The 20,513-nt window shown below is 42.1% G+C and overlaps 1 protein-coding gene across 3 annotated transcripts in view; it reads right to left on the reverse strand.

Moving 5' to 3' along the window:
* TGFBRAP1 (transforming growth factor beta receptor associated protein 1) overlaps positions 1–20,513 on the reverse strand; it is an 80,332-nt gene that overhangs the window by 51,763 nt on the left and 8,056 nt on the right. For 2 of the 3 annotated variants that reach the window (NM_001328646.3, NM_004257.6), the window contains exon 2: positions 6,448–7,152. In NM_001328646.3, the coding sequence (NP_001315575.1) occupies positions 6,448–7,135 (688 nt within the window). In that variant the 5' untranslated portion in view covers positions 7,136–7,152. The remainder of the gene's footprint in view (positions 1–6,447; positions 7,153–20,513) is intronic. The other variant, NM_001142621.3, reaches the window with a different exon arrangement.

A 20,513-nucleotide genomic window follows, 5' to 3' on the forward strand; every position in this document is an offset into this window, starting at 1 on the left:
AACTGAGATTGTGCCACTGCACTCTGGCCTTGGTGACAGAGAAATACCCTGTCTCAAAAATAAATAAATAAATAAATAATTTAAAGAGATAAAATTGAATGTATTCCTTACACTCTTCAGTATAAGAAATGAAACTGGTCAGGTGCGATGGCTCAGGCCTGTAAGCCCAGCACTTTGGGAGGCTGAGGCGGGTGGATCACTTGAGGTCAGGAGTTTGAGACCAGCCTGGCCAACATGCTGAAACCCTGTCTCTACAAAAAAATACAAAAAATTAGCCAGGAATGATGGCACCCACCTGTAATCCCAGCTACTAGGGAGGGTAAGGCAGCAGAATCATTTGAACCCGGGAGGTGGAGGTTGCAGTGAGCCGAGATTGTGCCACTGCACTCCAGCTTGGGCAACAGAGCTAGACTCTCTCAAAAAAAAGAAAAAAAACCACACAGGTACTAGAAGAAAACACAGGTGAATTTGTCTTTAACCTGGAAGACAGAGAAATCTTCCTAATTATGACTCAAACTCAAGAAGCAATACCTGAAAATATTGATACATTTGATTATACAGAATTTTCTTTTTCTTTTTGAGATGGGGTCTTGGTGTGTTGCACAGGCTGGAGTGTAGTGCCTAGTCACAGGCACAATTACAGAGCAACACAGCCTCCAACTCCTGGGCTCAAGCGGTCCTCCTGCCTCAGCTTCCTGTGGCTGGGACCACAAGCACATGCCACCACACCTGGTGAGATCATATCGAAATTTTTCAAAAAGCTTTTTCACGGTAAAATATGGAAACAAATACCTGAAACTTATATAACAGAGAAGTTGGTATCTCAAACATATAAAGAATACTAAAAAAAAAAAAAAAAAAAAGGCCTAGAGATAAGAAGAGATAATTCCCATCGGAAGAAATGTAAATGGCTTTTAAACGTGAAAAATGTTCAACCATGCACATAAACAAGAGAAATGGAAATTAAAACTACACTGAAAAACCATTTCTCATGTACTAGACTGGCAAAAACACACAAGTTTGGACAACATCCTCTGTTGGCAAAGCTGGAGGGAAACAGGTACTTTCATAGGTTGCTGGGGAAAAATAAAATGGTGCAACCTTTATCAAGGGAGACTATCGCAATACCTCACATTTATACTTTGACTCTGCTATCTCATCTCTAGAAAGCTTTCCAACAGATACACTGAAAACACACACACATACACACAAATATAAGTCCCCAGGAATAGCTAAAGACTGAAAAAGACCCCAAATGTCCATCAATAGATGGAACGCATTATGGTACCTCCACACAGCAGAATAGTGCGCAGCTATAAAATGAAGGAGGAATACCTCTACACTCTGAAGTGATCACTTTAGTATATTAAGTAAAAAAAAAAGCAAGGTGAGGAAAAGTACTCTACCATTTAGCCAAGGAGGAGATACAAATATTTACATATTTATGTTGTATTTTAAAATGAAAGAATAAACCCTAAAAATAAAGGTTACCTATGGGAGAGGGAGACTTGGTAAAAAGCTAGCTGTGAGCTTAGACCTCTTTGACGATATCTTGCTGTATCCGTCTGTCTTGGAACTTTGTAAACATTTATATAATAAAAAACACACCAAAGCAACTTCTAAAAATCAAAAGTAAAATGAAACAAACAAATCTAACTATAAATCTAGTTGATGGCATAACCACACAGAGGAGAACTACTCCAAGTGACTTTAAAACACAGTAATTTGACTAGATTTCTAATACCCTAAGGACAGAAAGAACCACAAACCATCAGAGTTTCCAATAATTATACTGTGGGAGCGGTAGTGCTGGTCCTGTTACTCTGTTGTATGTACTGTGGGATAAATCAAAGGAGTAATTATGTTGAGGTAGTAGAGAAGTCAGATCTTTGGTGTGGTTGAAAGGAGATACAGGTACAATGATGGATTGGTTCTATCAACATGATTTCACAATGAAATTATCTTTACAAACATATACTTTACCCAGGTGCAGTAGTGCACGCCTATAGTCCCAGCTACCTGGGAAGCTGAGGCGAGAGGCTTGCTTGAGCCCAGGAGTTCAAGGCCAGCCTCGGCAACATAGCAAGACCTCGTTTCTAAAAGAATAAAATAAAATAAAAAAGACATACTTCCCAGCACTGTCTACTGAAAGAAGGGCCTAGAAACAATGAGCAGTAAGCACCTCTGGCTCCCAGACTGTGGTCTGTAAACATCAGGGCTTTTTGGAGAAATGGCTGAAACCAGACCCAGGGCAAGAAATGTACGAGGTGATCTAGGAATATCCTGAAACTCAAGGAAGCAATCAGATTTCTAGTGGCATGAAAAAGGGACTGACAAGTCCACCTGAATAAACTCCCACCAGGCATGGATGAAACCAAGCACATCACATACATTTGCGTCCACGAGTTTATAATGATACTTTTCAGAAAGCCATTTCTGTAAGACAGAAGAGATCCCCATATTGAAAACTGAGTAACTGAATTGATCTGGGCAGTAACTGTCAACAGCTGCTAACATTACAGAGCGATGAAGGCATTATGCAACCTTGACAGAGGTACTCCACCACTAGGAAGTGGTCTTGCCTCCCCACAAAACAAGCAAATTTTTAAAAACCCTGAATCTCCTAATTACTATTTGAAGAAAACACAGAGGTCAGAGAGGCATGTTAAACAATACTATGGGAATGAAATCATTAAAATCCAGATTGTGGGACACCATACATGAAACCATCCAATTTCTTCAGCAAAAAAAATTAAAGAAAAGCAAAAAAGAGATGAAGCAGAAAACTGAAGATTAAAACAAAGTAACAGATCAATCAATTGCAATGTATGGGCCTTGTATGAAACTGATTCAAACAAACTAAAAATAAACATACAAATACTTAAACATAAGTGTATATATATATTTACATCGATTATGGTGTATGCTAATAGGGGAAATATGACACATCTACATATATTTGATATTTAGGAATTACTGTCAGGTTTTTTAGGAATTGTGGTTTTCTTAGGTATCTGTAACTTAGAAATATGTACTAAAATGTTTACAGATGAAATGCTATGATGTCTGGGATTTGCCTCAAAATAAACAGAGGGCATGATGTGTATAAACTGAGAGTGCCTGATGCTAGGTGATGTCTCTACCAGGTTCATTATGCTATTCTCTTTATTATATAAGTTTACATATGTTTTCTACAATAAAAAATTTCACAGTACAGAAATCCTCAATTTTCCGAAAAAAATGTGGCTGGGCTAAAGAATGTTTTCTTCAAAAAGTAAGAATCTATGGTGTGAAGCCATAAAAAGACATGGAGGAAACTTAAATGCATATTACCGGCTGGGCACAGTGGCTCACGCCTGTAATCCCAGCACTTTGGGAGGCCGAGGCGGGTGGATCACCTGAGGTCAGGAGTTCAAGACCAGCCTGGCCAACATGGTGAAACCCCATCTCTACTAAGAACACAAAAATTAGCTGAGCATGGTGGCACATGCCTATAGTCCCAGCTACTCGGGAGGTTAAGGCAGGAGAATCGTTTGAACCCAGGAGGCGGAGGTTGCAGTGAGCCGAGATGGCACCACTGCACTCCAGCCTGGGCGACAGAGCGAGACTCCGTTCTGGGGGTGGGAAAAGAGAAAACCCTATGACTAAGCGAAAGAAGCCAATCTGAAAAGGCTACATACTGTATGGTCCCAACTAGATCACACTCTGGAAAAGAAAGAAAAAACCCCATGGAAACAGCAAAAAGATCAGCGGTTGCTGGGGCTTAGGGGAAGGGAGGGATGAACAGGTGGAGCACAAAGGACTTTTAAGGTGGTGAAAGGATTATGAATGACACTACAATGGCGGATTCATGTCATTACACATAACACATTTGTCGAGCATGGCCCCTAATATAAACTATGGGCTTCGGGTGCTAATGATGTGCCCCCTGTACCACTGTCGTGTGGATAACGGGAGGGCAGGAGGTCTACAGGAACTCTCTGTACTTTCCCCTCAGTTTTGCTGTGAACCTAAAACTGCTCTAAAAAAATAAAGTCTATTTTTTTAAAAAGTGAAAAACAAGAGATATACATGAAATAGTTCATGACAGGAATTCGTTATCACAAGAAAATGTGTTTGCACTCAGCAATTTGAAATGAGGTGACTATACAAAAACTTGCCAAGGATAAAAAATACCAGTGTTAAAAGGAATGCGCTCTCACCAGCATCCCTGTACCATAAACACATACACTAACTCTAATATGAGCCACCCCTGGCTGGAAGAAAATACCAGGAGACATCACTAAGGTTAAAGCACTGATTCTTCATCTTGATAAGGCTGTCCAGAGAATTAGTTAAGTCCATAAGAGCACTGCTAAAGCCCCTTTTGAGGAGCTAGCTACAAAAAACTTTTTGGTGGGATGAAATGACAGGACATAACAGAGAGAAAATGTTATGGACATGACATTGAAAATACTTAGTGAGCTACCTCAAATCCTTTTTATTTTTATTAATTAATTAATTTTATTTACTTTTTTAGACAGAGTCTCACTCTGTCACCCAGGCTGGAGTGCAGTGGCACGATCTCAGCTCACTGTAACCTCCGCCCAAGTGATTCTCCTGCCTCAGCCTCCTGAGTAGCTGGGATTACAGGTGCCCACCACCACACCAGGCTAATTTTTGTATTTTTAGTAGAGATAGGGTTTCACCTTTTGGCCAGGCTGGTCTCGAACTACTGACCTCAGGTGATCTGCCTGCTTCGGCATCCCAAAGTGCTGGGATTACAGGCGTGAGCCACCTAGCCCAGCCTCAACAACTTTTTAGAATGAGGAGCAAAAACAATCAAATGACAACCCACTCTTGTGGGAAAATCTTACCAGGAACCCTTACGGAGTTTTCTGGTTTTTTGTTTTTTGTTTTTTGTTTTTTTTTTTTTGAGACAGTTTCCCTCTTGCTGCCCAGGCTGGAGTGCAATGGCGTGATCTCAGCTCACCGCAACTGCTGCCTCCTGGGTTCAAGCAATTCTCCTGCCTCAGCTTCCTGAGTAGCTGGGATTACAGGCATGCACCACCATGCCCGGCTAATTTTGTATTTTTAGTAGAGACAGGGTTTCTCCATGTTGGTCAGGATGGTCTCGAACTCCCCACCACAGGTGATCCACCTGCTTTGGCCTCCCAAAGTGCTGGGATTATAGGCGTGAGCCACTGCGCCCAGCCCAGAGTTATTTTTGTAGTTATTTACTTAAAAGAATTTTCCCACTGTTAAGAGTGGGTAGATAGCTAGCTAGACATGAATGGGAGGGAAGAGCCCCTGAGAAAAGGGAGGTCTGGAAAATCCCACATCCCAGAGACCATCAAAAAGATGCATGCTGGCCAGGCATGGTGGCTGATGCTTGTAATCCCAGCACTTTGGGAGGCCGAGGTGGGTGGATCCCTTGAGGTCAGGAGTTCAAGACCAACCTGGCCAACATGGTGAAACCCCATCTCTACCAAAAATACAAAAATTAGCCAGGCATGGTGGTGCATGCCTGAAATCTCAGCTATTTGGAAGGTTGAGGCAGGGAGAATCGCTTGAACCTGGGAGGTAGAGGTTGCAGTGAGCCGATACTGTGCCACTGCACTCCAGCCTGGGCAATAAAGCGAGACTCTGTCTCAAAACAAAACAAACAAACAAAACATGCATGCTAGATATGAGCAGAGAGGAGGGAAAGAGGGTAAAGGAGAAATTCCAAAGAGACATTCAGGTGCAGTAAGTATGGACCTAACCGCTGTACAACCTTCCTGGGGTGGAGGTAATGAGCAATGCAGCCATTAGGTGGGATTCACATCCAACACCGGCTGTACATGTGCACCAACTACTAGTAAGAGAGGGTCCCACAAGCTTAGAGTAGAAATTAGGTGGGAGGAAAAGGTGGGGACTTAAGGCAGAAGCGGGAAAACTAGACAAAGGAAAAAGGCAGAAACTTTAAGACAGAGGTGGGAACTTCAAGAAAAACTCCAGCATCATAAAAACCCGATGCAGAACTCTCAGGGCTGCTGGCTCACTCTCTCAGCATCCCACTCTGCCTCATCTTTCAGAACGTACTGTCTCTCTCCATATAAATTCTCTGTTCTCTATTTCCCTTCAGAAAGCTCTCTGCTATCTCTGAATTGTCTCTTGGCCAAAATCTTTCTCCCAAGATGACTAAGGGCTGAGAATATCCCCACTTCCCGGTAACACCACCAGAGCTGTCTTCAAGCTCCACTTTAATGTGAAAGAAACTGGTTTTATGACTCCAACCCCACGTTCACAGAACAATCGAACTGGATTTCATCAAGCACTGGTCAAGCACTGCTACCTCTGTCTTGCCACACACGCCCAATGTCACTGAGGATTTATTCTGCACAGCGCCAATCTCACTCTCCAGTTTCAACACGCAGTCACCGAGGCCACCCAAAAAGATCAGGCGCACAAATGCATCCTCCTCACCCAGCCCTCCGGGGCCCGCCAGCAGGAACTCCTGTCTCCCTATCCTCTTGACGATCGGCGGCCTCTCCTCACTGCAGTAGGGAAACAGGTCCTGGGAGACGCCTGTGCTGTAATTGTGGATGATGTACTGAGTGGTCAGAGCCAGACACAGGAAGTGGCCGTCCACAGCCACAGCGAGGGGCTGCTCGGCAGTCGACACCTCCTTGACGATCTGCACCCGGTCCTCGTACACCAGAAACATCTGGATGGTTCTGCGTTTGACAGAGATGATGCAAACTTCTACACAGAAGGGGTCCCCACTCACAGGGTTCTCGTTCAGTGCAAACGTGGCTGCCCCCTTGATGCGGGCCCCCGAAGGCACTGGCTCGAGGTTCAGCATGTTGACCAGGCTGATGGAGTTGTCACACAGCACCAGCAGCCTGTTGAGTGCTGAGGCCGCACGCAGCTCGTTCACGGGCTTCTTGAAGCCCAAGTGTCTCTGCAGCTGTTTGGTGGCAGTGAACGTGGCTGGCCCAGCAGGCACTGGCCTCTCCTCCAACAGGAAGTGGTAGACGAAGCAGTCGTTGGTGCCCACGTAGAGGTCCCTGCCGCAGCACTCCACGCACTCTATGTTGACGCGCTCCTTGTCGCCCATCAGCAGCTCCCGCTCCACAGCAGAGACAAGCGTAAAGGCTTTGATGCTCATCATGTCTACTGGCTGATCTGCTGGAAGAGAAAGAGGAAAACTAATTTTAGAGGAACAAGGAAGAAGCAGAAACAGAGGCTGCAATAATGATACGTGGATTCCCTAGTTGTCATTTTCATTAAAGAAAGTCATTCCACGCTATCAAAAAATGGAAAGAAACCATTTCCCCACAGACCTCCCCCATCAGACAGCAGAAGACCCAAGAAGAAAACCACAGACACATACACACACACACACCCATATACACATATGTATGTGCTTGTGATCACGTGCCATCCTGCTCAGTCCCCACACAGAGTCACCTGGAGCCTCCTCACATTGCTCCTGGGAGACACGCTTGAAGGCAGAAGACAAATGCATGCATTCACCCACGGGCAACATAACAAAAGGATTTCTGTGAGGCAGGAGGATGGCTTGACCCCAGGAGCTGGAGGCCAGCCTGGGCAATATAATGAGACCCCATTTAAAAAAAAAAACAAAAAGGATTTCTGAAAAAGGCAGAAATGATCCTCACTGATCTTCCCTGAGTTTCTACAGCTACTTGAATATGCACTTTAGTCAATGAACACAACCACAGTCACAGGATCCTGCCAGGAACACCGAGGCAGACGCCAGGCCTTGGATTCCTTTGTGTTCTTCCCAATAAGGCAGGCGCATCAGCCTCAGCTCCGGAGTAAATGTATTCATGTGGAGAGTAAAGGTGTGCCTCGGATCTCGAAAGGCTTTCAGATGGTGAGTGGAGCTATTTAGTGGATGTGTGGACCGACCGGTCCCTGGCTCCCATTGGAAGTGAGACTTTCCCACACACTAGCCCGTCGCCTCCTACTTCATCTTCTGCAGAGAACTGTGGCTTCACACTCCACAAAGTCACAGGGAGAAGATCAGGCAAGGTGGCCTTTCTGACTTCTCAGGCAGCCAGAAGCAAACTCAAAGGCACAGTCCCTGTGAGCGGGAGCAGGGCAGGGGATCAGAGAGCTGGAAAGAGGACTGCAGAGAATGACGGGAGCTGCAGGGCAGCTGGCTGGGCTTGCGTCAGCACTGCTGCATGTTCAGAGAGCTTGAAGTGAAAGGCTGCTATCACTGTCACTTCCTCATCTCAAGTTGTCTGAACATGGAACAGTGCTGCTTCATGAGAGCTTAAGTTCCTAATACTTGGAGGCATTCCAGCAAAGCAGGGAAGACCTCTCAGAAATATTCAAGAAAGGTTCACGCATCAGGGAAGGGAAGGAATCAGAGAACTTCTTTGGTGCCTTTCAAATAGAAAATTTGGAATTCTACAATTTTGTGTCTGCCCCCATCCATGGGGGCAATGACAGCTACACACAAGTGAGACTCCAGCCCCCTTCCTTAGCTCTACAAAACCCCCAGGAGGGAGGATACCCCAGGGTTGAGGAGGAGGCTTGTCTGTAGACACATCAGTCCTTCCTGTTTTCTTCCCATCACTTGAGCAAATTACTTGGTGCTATGGTCAGAATGTCTGTGTCCCCCTAAAATTCATATGTTGGAACTTAATCCCCAGAGTGGTAGTGTTGGGAGGTGGGGAGGTGATTAGGTCATGAGGGTGGAGCCCTTATGAATGGCATTAGTGCCCTTATTAAAGAGGCCCCAGAGAGCTTATTTGTTCCTTCCATCCACTATGTGAGGAGGCAGCTGCAAGGCACCACCCCTGAGGGATGGGCCCTCACCAAACACTGAGCCTACCATGCCTTAATCTTGGACTTCCCAGCCTCCATGAACGGTAAGCAATACATTTCTATTATCTATTAATTACCTAGTGTATGGTAGTTTGTTACAGCAGCTGGAATGGACACTTGGCTATTCCAGCCTCAACTGCCTCATCTGTGAAATGAGAATAACGGTACCTACTTCATAGGATTGTTGGACGATTAAGTAAGTGACCTCATATAAAATGCGGACAGCTGGCACACAGCACTCAAACTTTTGGATCTCATCATAAATACTATGATTCCCTCCCAGTCTGGATCAGCTCTCACTCCTCTCTCAAACTACCAGCTTGCTTCAGGTGTTTATTTCCCAAGCTGGGCACCAAGAGATTAGACTATGCTGTCTTCTGTCCTCAGATATGGGTAACCTGTTCACCTCCGCCAAAACACAGCCTGCATCATAAGCCAGAACACACACTCACACACCTGCCCCACCCCTAAGACATCTTCACACTCACCTACGGGAGCTCATCTTCACAGAAACTATGGAAAAGAGCTGGGGGAAGTGTAGAGGGAGGTTCTAAAGGCACCACAGAGAAGGAATCATGTCCATCTACCTCGGGGCTGTGGGAACATCCCCAGAATCCCAGGTGAGGCCGAGTGCAGAACTCTTGCAGGCTTCTACAAATAGTCTCTGGCACAAACAGCTCTTAAACAACATCATGTATTTGTCCCAACCAAACATAACCACCAAAACCCACCTAGACAACATTTTTTTCTCCATTTAAGAGCTAATGAGTAAAACCCAGATATTGAAATGTCAGCTTCCAGACATCTAAGTTAGTGAAAGTGAAGTAATACAAAATACTTCTTCCTTCATTGATTAATCAATCAGGGTTGTCTTTTTTAAATGGCAGGAGTAAGCAGTTCTGCCATTTAAAATATAAATTGTGTCTCCCTTTGCGGAAGGAATAGAGAAACAAACTCTGGGCACCTACAATCAAACTCCTTTTATTTAGCTTCTTAAAAGTATAATATTCATAATTCCAGCCCCTGTCTTCAGTTAGCATAAGGGATAAACTAAACACATTTGCAGTAAAGAATATTATAGAAAGAATCAAACGCCTCATATTTAGTCTAAATCCTGGGGTAGATAGAGAAGGGGAGAGGGAGAGAGAGCTGTAAAAAAAAAAAAAAAACAAAAAACAAAAAAACATATGGTTTACTAAAAAGTCATAACTCTATAATATTTAAAAACAAATGCAATATTGTTTCATTATCTAGTAAACTGTTATTCAAGCCTTGCTAAAGATAAGCTTCCTATTATAGGCCTTTAAATTAAGGACTTGCTTTGGTAATTAAATGGTAATAATGCAGAATTACATGGAGGTAAATGAAAGCTGAAGAAGTAACATGCTAGCACTTAAAAATGACTTATCCTTAACCCTGTCTCTACAAAAAAAATATAAAAACTTAGCCAGACCTGGTGGGGCACACCTGTATTCCCTCCTCCTCAGGAGGCTGAGGTAGGAGGGTTGCTTGAGCCCAGTGGTTTGCGGCTTCAGTGAGCCATGATTGCACCACCGCTCTCCAGCCTGGGAAACAGTGTGAGATGCTTTCACACAGAAAAAAAAAGAAAAAAGAAAAAAAAATTGGCTAGGAGTGGTGGCTCACACCTGTAATCCCACCATTTTGGGAGGCTGAGGCAGGCGGATCACCTGAGGTCAGGAGTTCAAGACCAGCCTGCCCAACATGGCAAAACCCCGTCTCTACTAAAAATACACACACAAAAAAAAGTTAGCCAGGCATGGTGGCGGGCACCTGTAATTCCAGCTATTCAGGAGGCTGAGGCAGGAGAATCGCTTGAACTGGGAGGCAGAGGGTGCAGTGAGCCGAGATCGTACCACTGCACTCCAGCCTGGGTGACAGGAGCAAAACTCCATCTCAAAAAAAAAAAATTAATTTAAAAAACTATTTTTTTTAAGCAGTGGGAAAATTCTCTCCATGATCTAATTCACATGATATATTTACTTAGATAAAATATGAATCATAAAAAGATAAACTTTAGGCCACACCTCTATTAAATATAACTTGCTGGGGTTCTGAATCAGAGAAGTTTCAACATGGTAATGTTTCAAAAGGAAACGTTTCTCTAAGGTGTAAAATTCATACTTTACTGTGTGATCTCAAAATGATCGAAAATTTAAACTTTTTGTTAGAACTTCACTTTAAGGCTTACCTATAATCCTAACACTTTGAGAGGCCCAGGCAGGAAGATCACTTGTGCCCAAGAGTTCAAGACCAGCCTGGGCAAAATATTGAGACTTGGTCTCTATTTTTAAAAAAAATAAGAATATTAAATTTAAAAAATTCACTTTAAAAGTATGATTATAATAATTTAAAAGATCAACATTTTAATGTTTTCTTAAAATTTCAAAATACATACCCAGGTAGGGAAGAGATTGGAAAATGCTAGGATGCTCAAGGACCATAATTTAATTAAGCTAACCTTGCATATGCAGCAAGCACCTCTAAGTTTGCAAAAAACTAAACAATTACAAGACACAATCCCACTTCCTAAGAGTCTCCCCGTCCTATTAAGGAAATAGGACTAGAAAAATAAATCAGTAATAGTATAAAGCAATACATGCTAAGGGTCAAAATAAAAATATTAGTAATTATTTCCTACCAGGTTAAGAATATGCACATTGTCATTTTAAAGATTCTGCCACTGGTGATAGTCAGAATCTTAGTCAGCATCTTTAAAGATGCTAATGTAAAAATACAAATCTTTTTCTACAAATGTACACAGAAACATTATCTTTTAGTCAGTATCTGGCATCACTTTAAAAGAACTGATGACTTTTGGCCGGGCATGGTGGCTTACACCTGTAATCCCAGCACTTTGGGAGGCCGAGGCAGGTGGACCACCTGAGGTCAGGAGTTCGAGACCAGCCTGGCCAACATGGTGAAACCTTGCTTCTACTAAAAATACAAAAATTAGCCAGGCGTGATGGCACATGCCTGTAATTCCAGCTACTTGAGAGGCTGAGGCAGGAGAATCACTTGAACCCGGGAAGCGGAGGTTGCAGTGAGCAGAGATCGCGCCACTGCACTCCAGCCTGGGCAACAAGAGTGAAACTCTGTCTCAAAAAAAAAAGAGAACTGATGACTTTTGGCATCTTCCCTTACTCCTTAGGAAGTTTCCTAAACCTCAGTTCAAAAATGACAATTCTGTTCTTTCCGGCTACACATGGGGTGGGCGCCACAGATTTTATATTACCCATAAGTTTCAAAGGAAGTTTCTGTGTTCTTTACTTGGAGACCTGTTACAAAAGCTATGTAGGCTTCTAGAGGTCCCACTTCTTTTCACAGCACAAGGCCAAGGCCAGGAGAGCTGACTGGGATGAGTTTATGGGCAGCACAGAGCACTGGCTACATTCTGATTTAATAGACACTGTCTATCCTACAAAGCAAGCACTGGGTCCAGATGGATTTCCTAGCGAGTTCCACTAAACACTTAGGAACCACCTAATTCCAATTTCACATAATAAATGTTTCTAAGGATAAAAAGATAAATAAAAGAGGGAACATATCCTTACTTTATTTTATGAAAGTAGTAGAAAGTAAAACTTTGATATTCAAGCCAGATAAGGATACAGGAAAAAAGAAAAATCACAGATCATTCTTACTCACAAATAAACCTGCAAAAACACTAAATATTAGCACACGAAATCCACAAATATATATTAAAAATGCAATATGGCTAAGTTGGGATGCAGTATTGGTTTAAGGAAATAAAATCTGTTTAGCTCACCACATTTATAAATTAAAAGAAAAAACTATTTCAAAAGATTCAGAAAAAGCATTAAATAAAATAAATTAATAAATTAAATTAAATTAAATTAAATTTTAAAATCTTTCCTTTTGAAACAAGGAACAAGACAAGAATCTGCCATCTGTTATGGGTTGAAATGACTCTCCCCCAATCATGCTGAAGTCCTAACCCCCAGTACCCATGAATGGGACCTTATGTGGAAATAAGATGATCAGAGTCATTTAGGGTGAGCTCTAATCAAATATGACTGTGTCCTTATAAAAAGGGGAAATTTGTACACAGAGACAGATACATACAGAGAAAAGACAAGTGAAGACACAGAAAGAGGAAGGAGATCTATAAGCTAAGGAATGTCTGAAGTTACCAGACCTTGCTCTCAGATTTCTACCCTCCAAAACTCTGAAGTAATATTTCTGTTGTTTAAGGTACCCAGCCTGTAGTACTTTCTCTTTTTTTTTTTTTTTTTTTTTGAGACAGTCTCGCTCTGTCGCCCAGGCTGGAGTGCAGTGTTGTGATCTCGGCTCACTGCAAGCTCCACCTCCCGGGTTCACGCCATTCTCCTGCCTCAGCCTCCCGAGTAGCTGGGACTACAGGCGCCTGCCACCACGCCTGGCTAATTTTTTGTATTTTTAGTAGAGACAGGGTTTCACCGTGTTAGCCAGGATGGTCTCGATCTCCTGACCTCATGATCCACCTGTCTCAGCCTCCCAAAGTGCTGGGATTACAGGCGTGAGCCACCGCGCCCAGCCACCTGTAGTACTTTCTTACGGCAGCCCTAGAAAGTAATACACGATCTCAGTTCAACACTGTATTAGGAGTCTTTGCCAGTACCATAAAACAAGAATAGTGATGAAGAATTGAAAACAGGCAGGGTTTGGTGTCTCATGCCTGTAATCCCAGCATGTTGGGAGGCCAAGGCAGGTGGATCACCTGAGGTCAGGAGTTCGAGACCAGTCTAGCCAACATGGTGAAACCCCATCTCTACTAAAAATACAAAAAATTAGCCAGGCGTGGTGGCAGGCACCTGTAATCCCAGCTACTTGGGAGGCTGAGGCAGGAGAATCGCTTGGACCCAGGAGGCAGAGCTTGCAGTGAACCGAGATCGCACCACTGCACTCCAGCCTGGGCAACAGAGCGAGACTCTGTCTCAAAAAAAAAAAAAAAAAGAAAGAATTGAAAACACAAACATAAAATTATAATTATTCACAGATAACATTACTGTTTACATAGAAACCCACAAAAAAGCTATTAGAATTAATGACTTTATAGTTTAATTTTTTTAAAAACCAAAGTAGTTTGTATTTCTAGCCCCAAAATTAGATACTTAAAAAAAACTTACAATAGTAGAAAATATAAGGTATGAAAGAATTATCTAACAGATATTTAAGATCCTTATGGATAAAATAATAAAATTTTATTGTTAGACATTAAGGAAGACCCAAATTGTCATCTTAGAAGGCTTTTCTGCAGAAATTGAAAAGCTGGTTTTAAATTTTAAATGGAAAGCACAGAACATAGCATAGTCAAAACAGTCTTGAAAATGAAGAACAAAACTGAAGGACCTACACTAACTGATTTCAGAAATTGCTCTAATACTACAATAATTAAGACATGAGGATAGACCAACAGGTCAAGCCCCAGACTGGGAGAAAAATTTGTAATGCATATATCTGGCAAACGACTCATATCCAGAATATAGAAAAACTCCTACAAACTAATAACAAGAAGACAAACATTTTTAAAATGGGCAAATGACTCAAACACTTCACAAAAGGCATATGAATGACCAATAAGAACATGAAAAGATGCTCCCTATCTTTAACCGAGATATTTATTTTAAGCCACAATGAGCTATCACTTCACACCTACTAGAAGAGCTACCATTAAAAAGATCGACAACACCAAATGTTAATGAGGATGTAGAACAACTGGAAATCTCATACGTTGCTGGAAGGAGTTTAAAAGGGTAAACTTTGGAGATCTGTTCAGCAGTTTTTTATAAACTTAAACATGCATTTGTCCAGTTACACCATGTTTAATATTTCCATTTCTCTTGGGTATATATCTATATCCACAAAAAGACCTGTATAAGATATGAGATATGCACAGCAAGCTTATTCATATTACCCAAAAAAAGGGAACGGCTCAGTTTTCCCCACTTACCCCCATTTAATTGTGGCATATTTATACAGTGGAATACTACTTAGAAATAAAAAGAAGTAAACTACTGACAAAGGCAACAAATAGATGACCCTCAAAAACACTGAGTGGAAGAAATCATGCCTATATTGTATATTTCCAATTATCTGAAGTTCAAAAGTAGGCCACGCTAATCTATAGCGACAGAAATCAGAACAGTGTTTACTTTGGAAGGAACTAGATGCGTAAGTGGAAAGGGACACAGTGAACTTTCTGGGTGACAGACATAGTCTGTATTTTATTTAAGGTATTAGCTATGCAAGTGTATGGAATTATCAAAATTCATTGGCTTGTGCCTTTATGTTCTGTGTATTTTACTGTATGCAAATTATGTTTTTTACAAAAAAAAAAAAAATTCCCCTACCTGATCCAGAGGAAAAAAAAAATGCCATTCCAATACAAACTCTTACAGGTATAGGGAGTGTGTGTGTGTGTGTGTGTGTGTGTGTGTGTGTGTGTGTGTGCGCGCGCGCGCGCGCGCACGCGCACATAACTCAAAAAGCAGATTCTAAAATTCACATGGCAGACTGGGAGCAGTGGCTCATGCCTGTAATCCTGTAATCCCAGCACTTTGGGAGGCCGAGGCAAGTGGATCACCTGAAGTCAGGAGTTCGAGACCAGCCTGGACAACATGGTGAAACCCGTCTCTACTAAAAATACAAAAATTAGCTGGGCGTGGCTGTGCACACCTGTAGTCCCAGCTTCTCAGAAGGCTGATGCAGGAGAATCGTTTGAACCTGGGAGGCGGAGGTTGCAGTGAGCTGAGATTATGCCACTGCACTCCAGCCTGGGTGACAGAGTGAGACTCTGTCTCAAAAAAAAAAAAAAATTCACATGGCAGAAAGGGCCAGAAAAAGTTAGACACTTATGAAAAAAGGTCAGGAGACTTGACTCAACATATACAATATAATCAAAAACCGTGGTAATTAAGATAATGTTGGACTAGCACGAGGACAGACCTAGAGAACACAACTGGGTGCCCAGAAACAGGCCATGCATATGTGGAAACTTGAAACCTGACTAGGTTGGCACTGTACATGTGGGGCATATACCGTGTATACACATGTACAGTAAACAGTACTTGTATGTCCATAGGAATACAAGTACAGTATTTGTATGTACTAGATGTCCATAGAAAATATAAGAAAGCTAGATTCTGCCAGGTATAGTGGCTCACGCCTGTAATCCCAGCACTCTGGGAGGCCGAGGTGGGAGGATCACGAGGTCAAAAGATGGAGATCATCCTGCCCAACATGGTGAAACCCCATTTACACTAAAAATACAAAAATTAGCTGGGCATGGTGGCGGATGCCTGTAGTCCCAGCTACTCGGGAGGCTAAGGCAGGAGAATTGCTTGAACCTGAGAGGCGGAGATTGCAGTGAGCCAAGATCGTGCCACTGCACTCCAGCCTGGCGACAGAGTGAGACTCATCTCAAAAAAAAAAAAAAAGAAAGCTAGATTCCTACCTCACACCACACATCAAAATTATTCCAGGTGATTAATATTCTTAAGTATAAAAGACATAACTTTGAAACACTGGAAAAAAAGCATGAAAAAATATTCTCATGACCTTCTTAGGGTAAGGGAGAAGTTCTAAAATAAGATATAAAAAAGCACAAACCCTAAGGAAAAATGATAAATTCTCCCATGTGAAAATGTACTGTTTCTGTTCTTCAAAAGACACCATGAAGAAAGTGAAAAGATAAGGGGAAAAGGGGGCTAGGGAGAAGACACTGACATCATGTATCTGACTAGAAACATCTGGATGATGTGGGAACTCCTGCAGCAAGAAAGTCAAGGATCTAACAGAAGGATGGGCGAAATACACAAACAGACCTTTCAATGGAGAGGAAACATGAATATCCAATAAACACGAAAGAACACAACCTGATTAGCACCTGGAATTTGCAAATTACACCTATAATGATACTTCATTTTCTACCCATTAAATTGACAAATATTTGAAGTCTGACAACATGAGGTGTTCCTAAGAACACAGCACAATGAGGAGGCTCCACCATGCCAGGGGAAGGTTCGGAGCTGGTAAGGACAGGTTATCATTACCTAGGAAGCCCCTGCCATGACTGAGTAAGCCATGACTCTACTCCTAGGCATCTGCCTTACTGAGTCTGTTTTGTGCTTACCAGGGCAAAGAAAGTCCACAGCAATCCTGTTTGAGACACAGGAAAACTAGAAACACCTCATGTTTCCTCCAAAGGCTGAAATACTGTACAGCTGCAAGAGAATGAACTAGAGCCGCCCACAAGGATGAATCTTAAGAGAATCTTAAGGGAATGATGAACACAAATCCGGGGAGGATGGGACTGGGTATGGGTGTGCATGAGATTCCCAACGGTCAGTAATGTTTTATTTCTGAAGCTGAGGGTTGCTTTTATTATGACTCTCTATATCTTATACAGATTACAAATATATTTTTATAGGCATTAAATATTAATTAAAAATATACACGTACATGTAGAATGTATAAAATTCTACTCATTTCCCCAAACCAGCTTACCCTGGAAATAGAGAAAGAATCTGTTTAATAAACCTGGTAGAATTCACAAACTGTATGTTCCTTGTTAAAAATTTCATTGCATGGAAGCACATTTATCAAACAAATAAGTGATTTATAATTTCTTAGTTTATCTAAATGCAGTGCTTAGCTTATTTTATATCCATATTTAATGGCCATTTCTCAGGATATCAAAGTCCAATTTGGGGCATTCCATCCATCATTTCCCATAAACATACCCTAGAAGGTAAAGGGAAAGACCAGCATGTGGTAGATGGCTCAGGGGGCGAACACCCTGCCCCATGGGCGTGTATACCGTCTGGGGCAGCAGCTTCTGTGAGGCTAGCCCCTTACCTCATGGGCCTCTGTCCCTCTCCCTTCCACTTCCAGGGCCACATAAGTATCTCCACTCTCAGTTTCAACCAGTTCAAAACTGGTTTTACTATCTTACTCTTCTTTCCATTTCCTCTATACTAAAACTCACCAAGGACAGGCCTCATTAAAAAAAAGTCACAGCAGGAAGAATAAACGTGGAATGAGAGCCTTTTTTTGTGTGTGTGTGTGAGACAGAGTCTCACTCCATCACATAGGCTGGAGTGCAGTGGTGTAATCTTGGCTCACTGCAACATCTGCCTCCTAGGTTCAAGCGATTCTCGTGCCTCAGCCTCCTGAGTACCTGGGATTACAGGCGTGCATCATTTTGCCCAGCTAATTTTTGCATTTTTAGTAGAGACGGGAATCTCACCATGTTGGTCAGGCTGGTCTCAAACTCCTGACCTCAAGTGATCTGCCTGCTTCAGCCTCCCAAAGTGTTGCAATTACAGGCGTGAGCCACTGCGCCTGGCCAAGAGCAATATTTTAAGTAGATAATCTAGACATAAAAAGAGGCTTGTAGGCCAGGCGCAGTGGCTCACGCCTGTAATCCCAGCACTTTGGGAGACTGAGGTGGGTAGATCACCTGAGGTCAGGAGTTTGAGACCAGCCTGGCAAACATGGTGAAACCCCATTTCTACTAAAAATACAAAAATTAGTTGGGTGTGGTGGCAGGTGCCTGTAATCCCAGCTACTTGGGAGGCTGAGGCAGGAGAATCACTTGAACCCAGGAGGCGGAGGTTGCAGTGAGCTGAGATCATGCCACTGCACTCCAGCCTGGGCAACAAGAGCAAAACTCTCTCAAAAAAAAAAAAAAGGAAAGAAAAAAAAAGAGGCTTGTAACTCCAACATTAACTATATAAATATTAGCATAATACATATATAAGATTTTAATATATATGTTTAACATATATAGGTATATATGTGTTTAATGCATATATACATATATGTATGTGTGTATATATTTGTTATATAGTGAAATATATATTTGTTATATATTGAAATATATATATTTGTTATATACATACATACATACATGTTATATACACACATACATACACACACACACACAATAGGAAACTCCTAATCTGGTACAGAGATAAATATATTCTGCCAAAAAGAATGCTATGACAAACTGGCATTTATTAAAATGGGCTCTTTACCAGTAATTATTCTTGAATCAAAGAATGACACTTTGTTATCTGCTCTACCAAATAATGTCCACCTGAGAGCCAACTTTAAGCTTGGCCTGGTGTCCTACGTGTCTGCAAAAAACCCTCACATTTTCTAATTACTTCACAGCTTATAAATGAAACAGACTCTTCAGAAACCTATGCAGCTATATGTGCACCAGAACTTCATCACCCTGGGGGAGGAACCGCAAAAACTCAGCCCTATAATAGAAGGCACTGTCCTATGAATAAGCTAAAAATTAATTCTGTATCTGCATTTTAAAAAGGACACACTACCTCAAGTAAGATTTGTTATTTTCTCATTTTACAGCAAGAAGTTTTTTTTTTTTCTTTATGATAGTCCATCAAAAATGAATAGAGATCAAGTGGTCATTCTAACATTTGGACCAAAGCCAGGTCAGATCTGAAGGCAATGCAGAAAGGAGGCAGGAATGTGGGCCACACACCTGAAACACTAGGTCATTATCCTCCTTATAACATACCAGAAGGTAGTTCCCTGCCCAAAAGATAAACTCCAGACTCAGCTTAAGAAGCACAGCCCTTAAAATTTTAACCTCAGCCAACCTTTCCTCCTTTATTTAGTAAGAAAAATTATAGCTATTAACCTATTCTTATTGTTCCATAATATCAGTCTCTTATTGTATAAGCTACAATCAGTTCGGAATTGCTGCTGAGTTCCAAAGAGCCTGTAAGTGTCCAAGGCACTCCACAAACCAAGCAGTTGTCAAAAGGGATTTCAGTAAACACTACTCTCTAGATACCTTTCCAAAGGATTAACACTATGAGTCAGAAAATAGTTACCATTAACTACAGTGGTGGGATCGAATTTAACAACGTAATAATCCCTAAAGGAAAACACACTGCCTCCTTCTCATCTGTCGCTAGTCCATATGAAAAGTAGCAACGTCTGGTGGACAAGGGCAGCCTCAGAATGGGCTCTGGGGGACGGCACAGATTCCCACACACTGGACTTCCTCTGACTGGCTGATGGCAGGGATCCTGGCTTTAGGCGTGAGTATCTTTCTTTCTTTGCATCTTCCTACAATTTACAGTTTTTGTATAAATACAATGACTTATTTATTTATTTATTTTTTTTTTTTTTGAGATGGAGTCTCTTGCTTTGTTGCCCAGGCTGCAGTGCAGTGGCACGGTCTCGGCTCACTGCAACCTCTGCCTCCCAGGTTCAAGTGCTTCTCCTGTCTCAGCCTCCTGAGTAGCTGTGATTACAGGCAGCCGCCATCATGCCTGGCTAATTTTTTGTATTTTTAGTAAAGATGGGGTTTCACTGTGTTGGCCAGGCTGGTCTCGAACTCCTGACCTCAGGTGATCTGCCCACCTCGGCCTTCCAAAGTGCTGGGATTACAGGTGTGAGCCACCATGCCTGGCCTACAATGATGTTTTTCAAGTTTCTATTTTGCCATTTTAATATAGAACTTTTATAGAAAAAAAAATGTTTCTCTGAGAAGCAGTTTCTCAATTAACCTGGATAAACATATCTACTAAGACCATGAAGCCATAGACAGATAGCAATGTCCATCACAGGGGAAAACTGAACACAGTGGCGTGCTGTATAATGACATTTCCATTAACAACAGACAG

The sequence above is a fragment of the Homo sapiens genome, chromosome 2, assembly GCF_000001405.40.
Source record: "Homo sapiens chromosome 2, GRCh38.p14 Primary Assembly".
Lineage (NCBI taxonomy): Eukaryota > Metazoa > Chordata > Mammalia > Primates > Hominidae > Homo > Homo sapiens.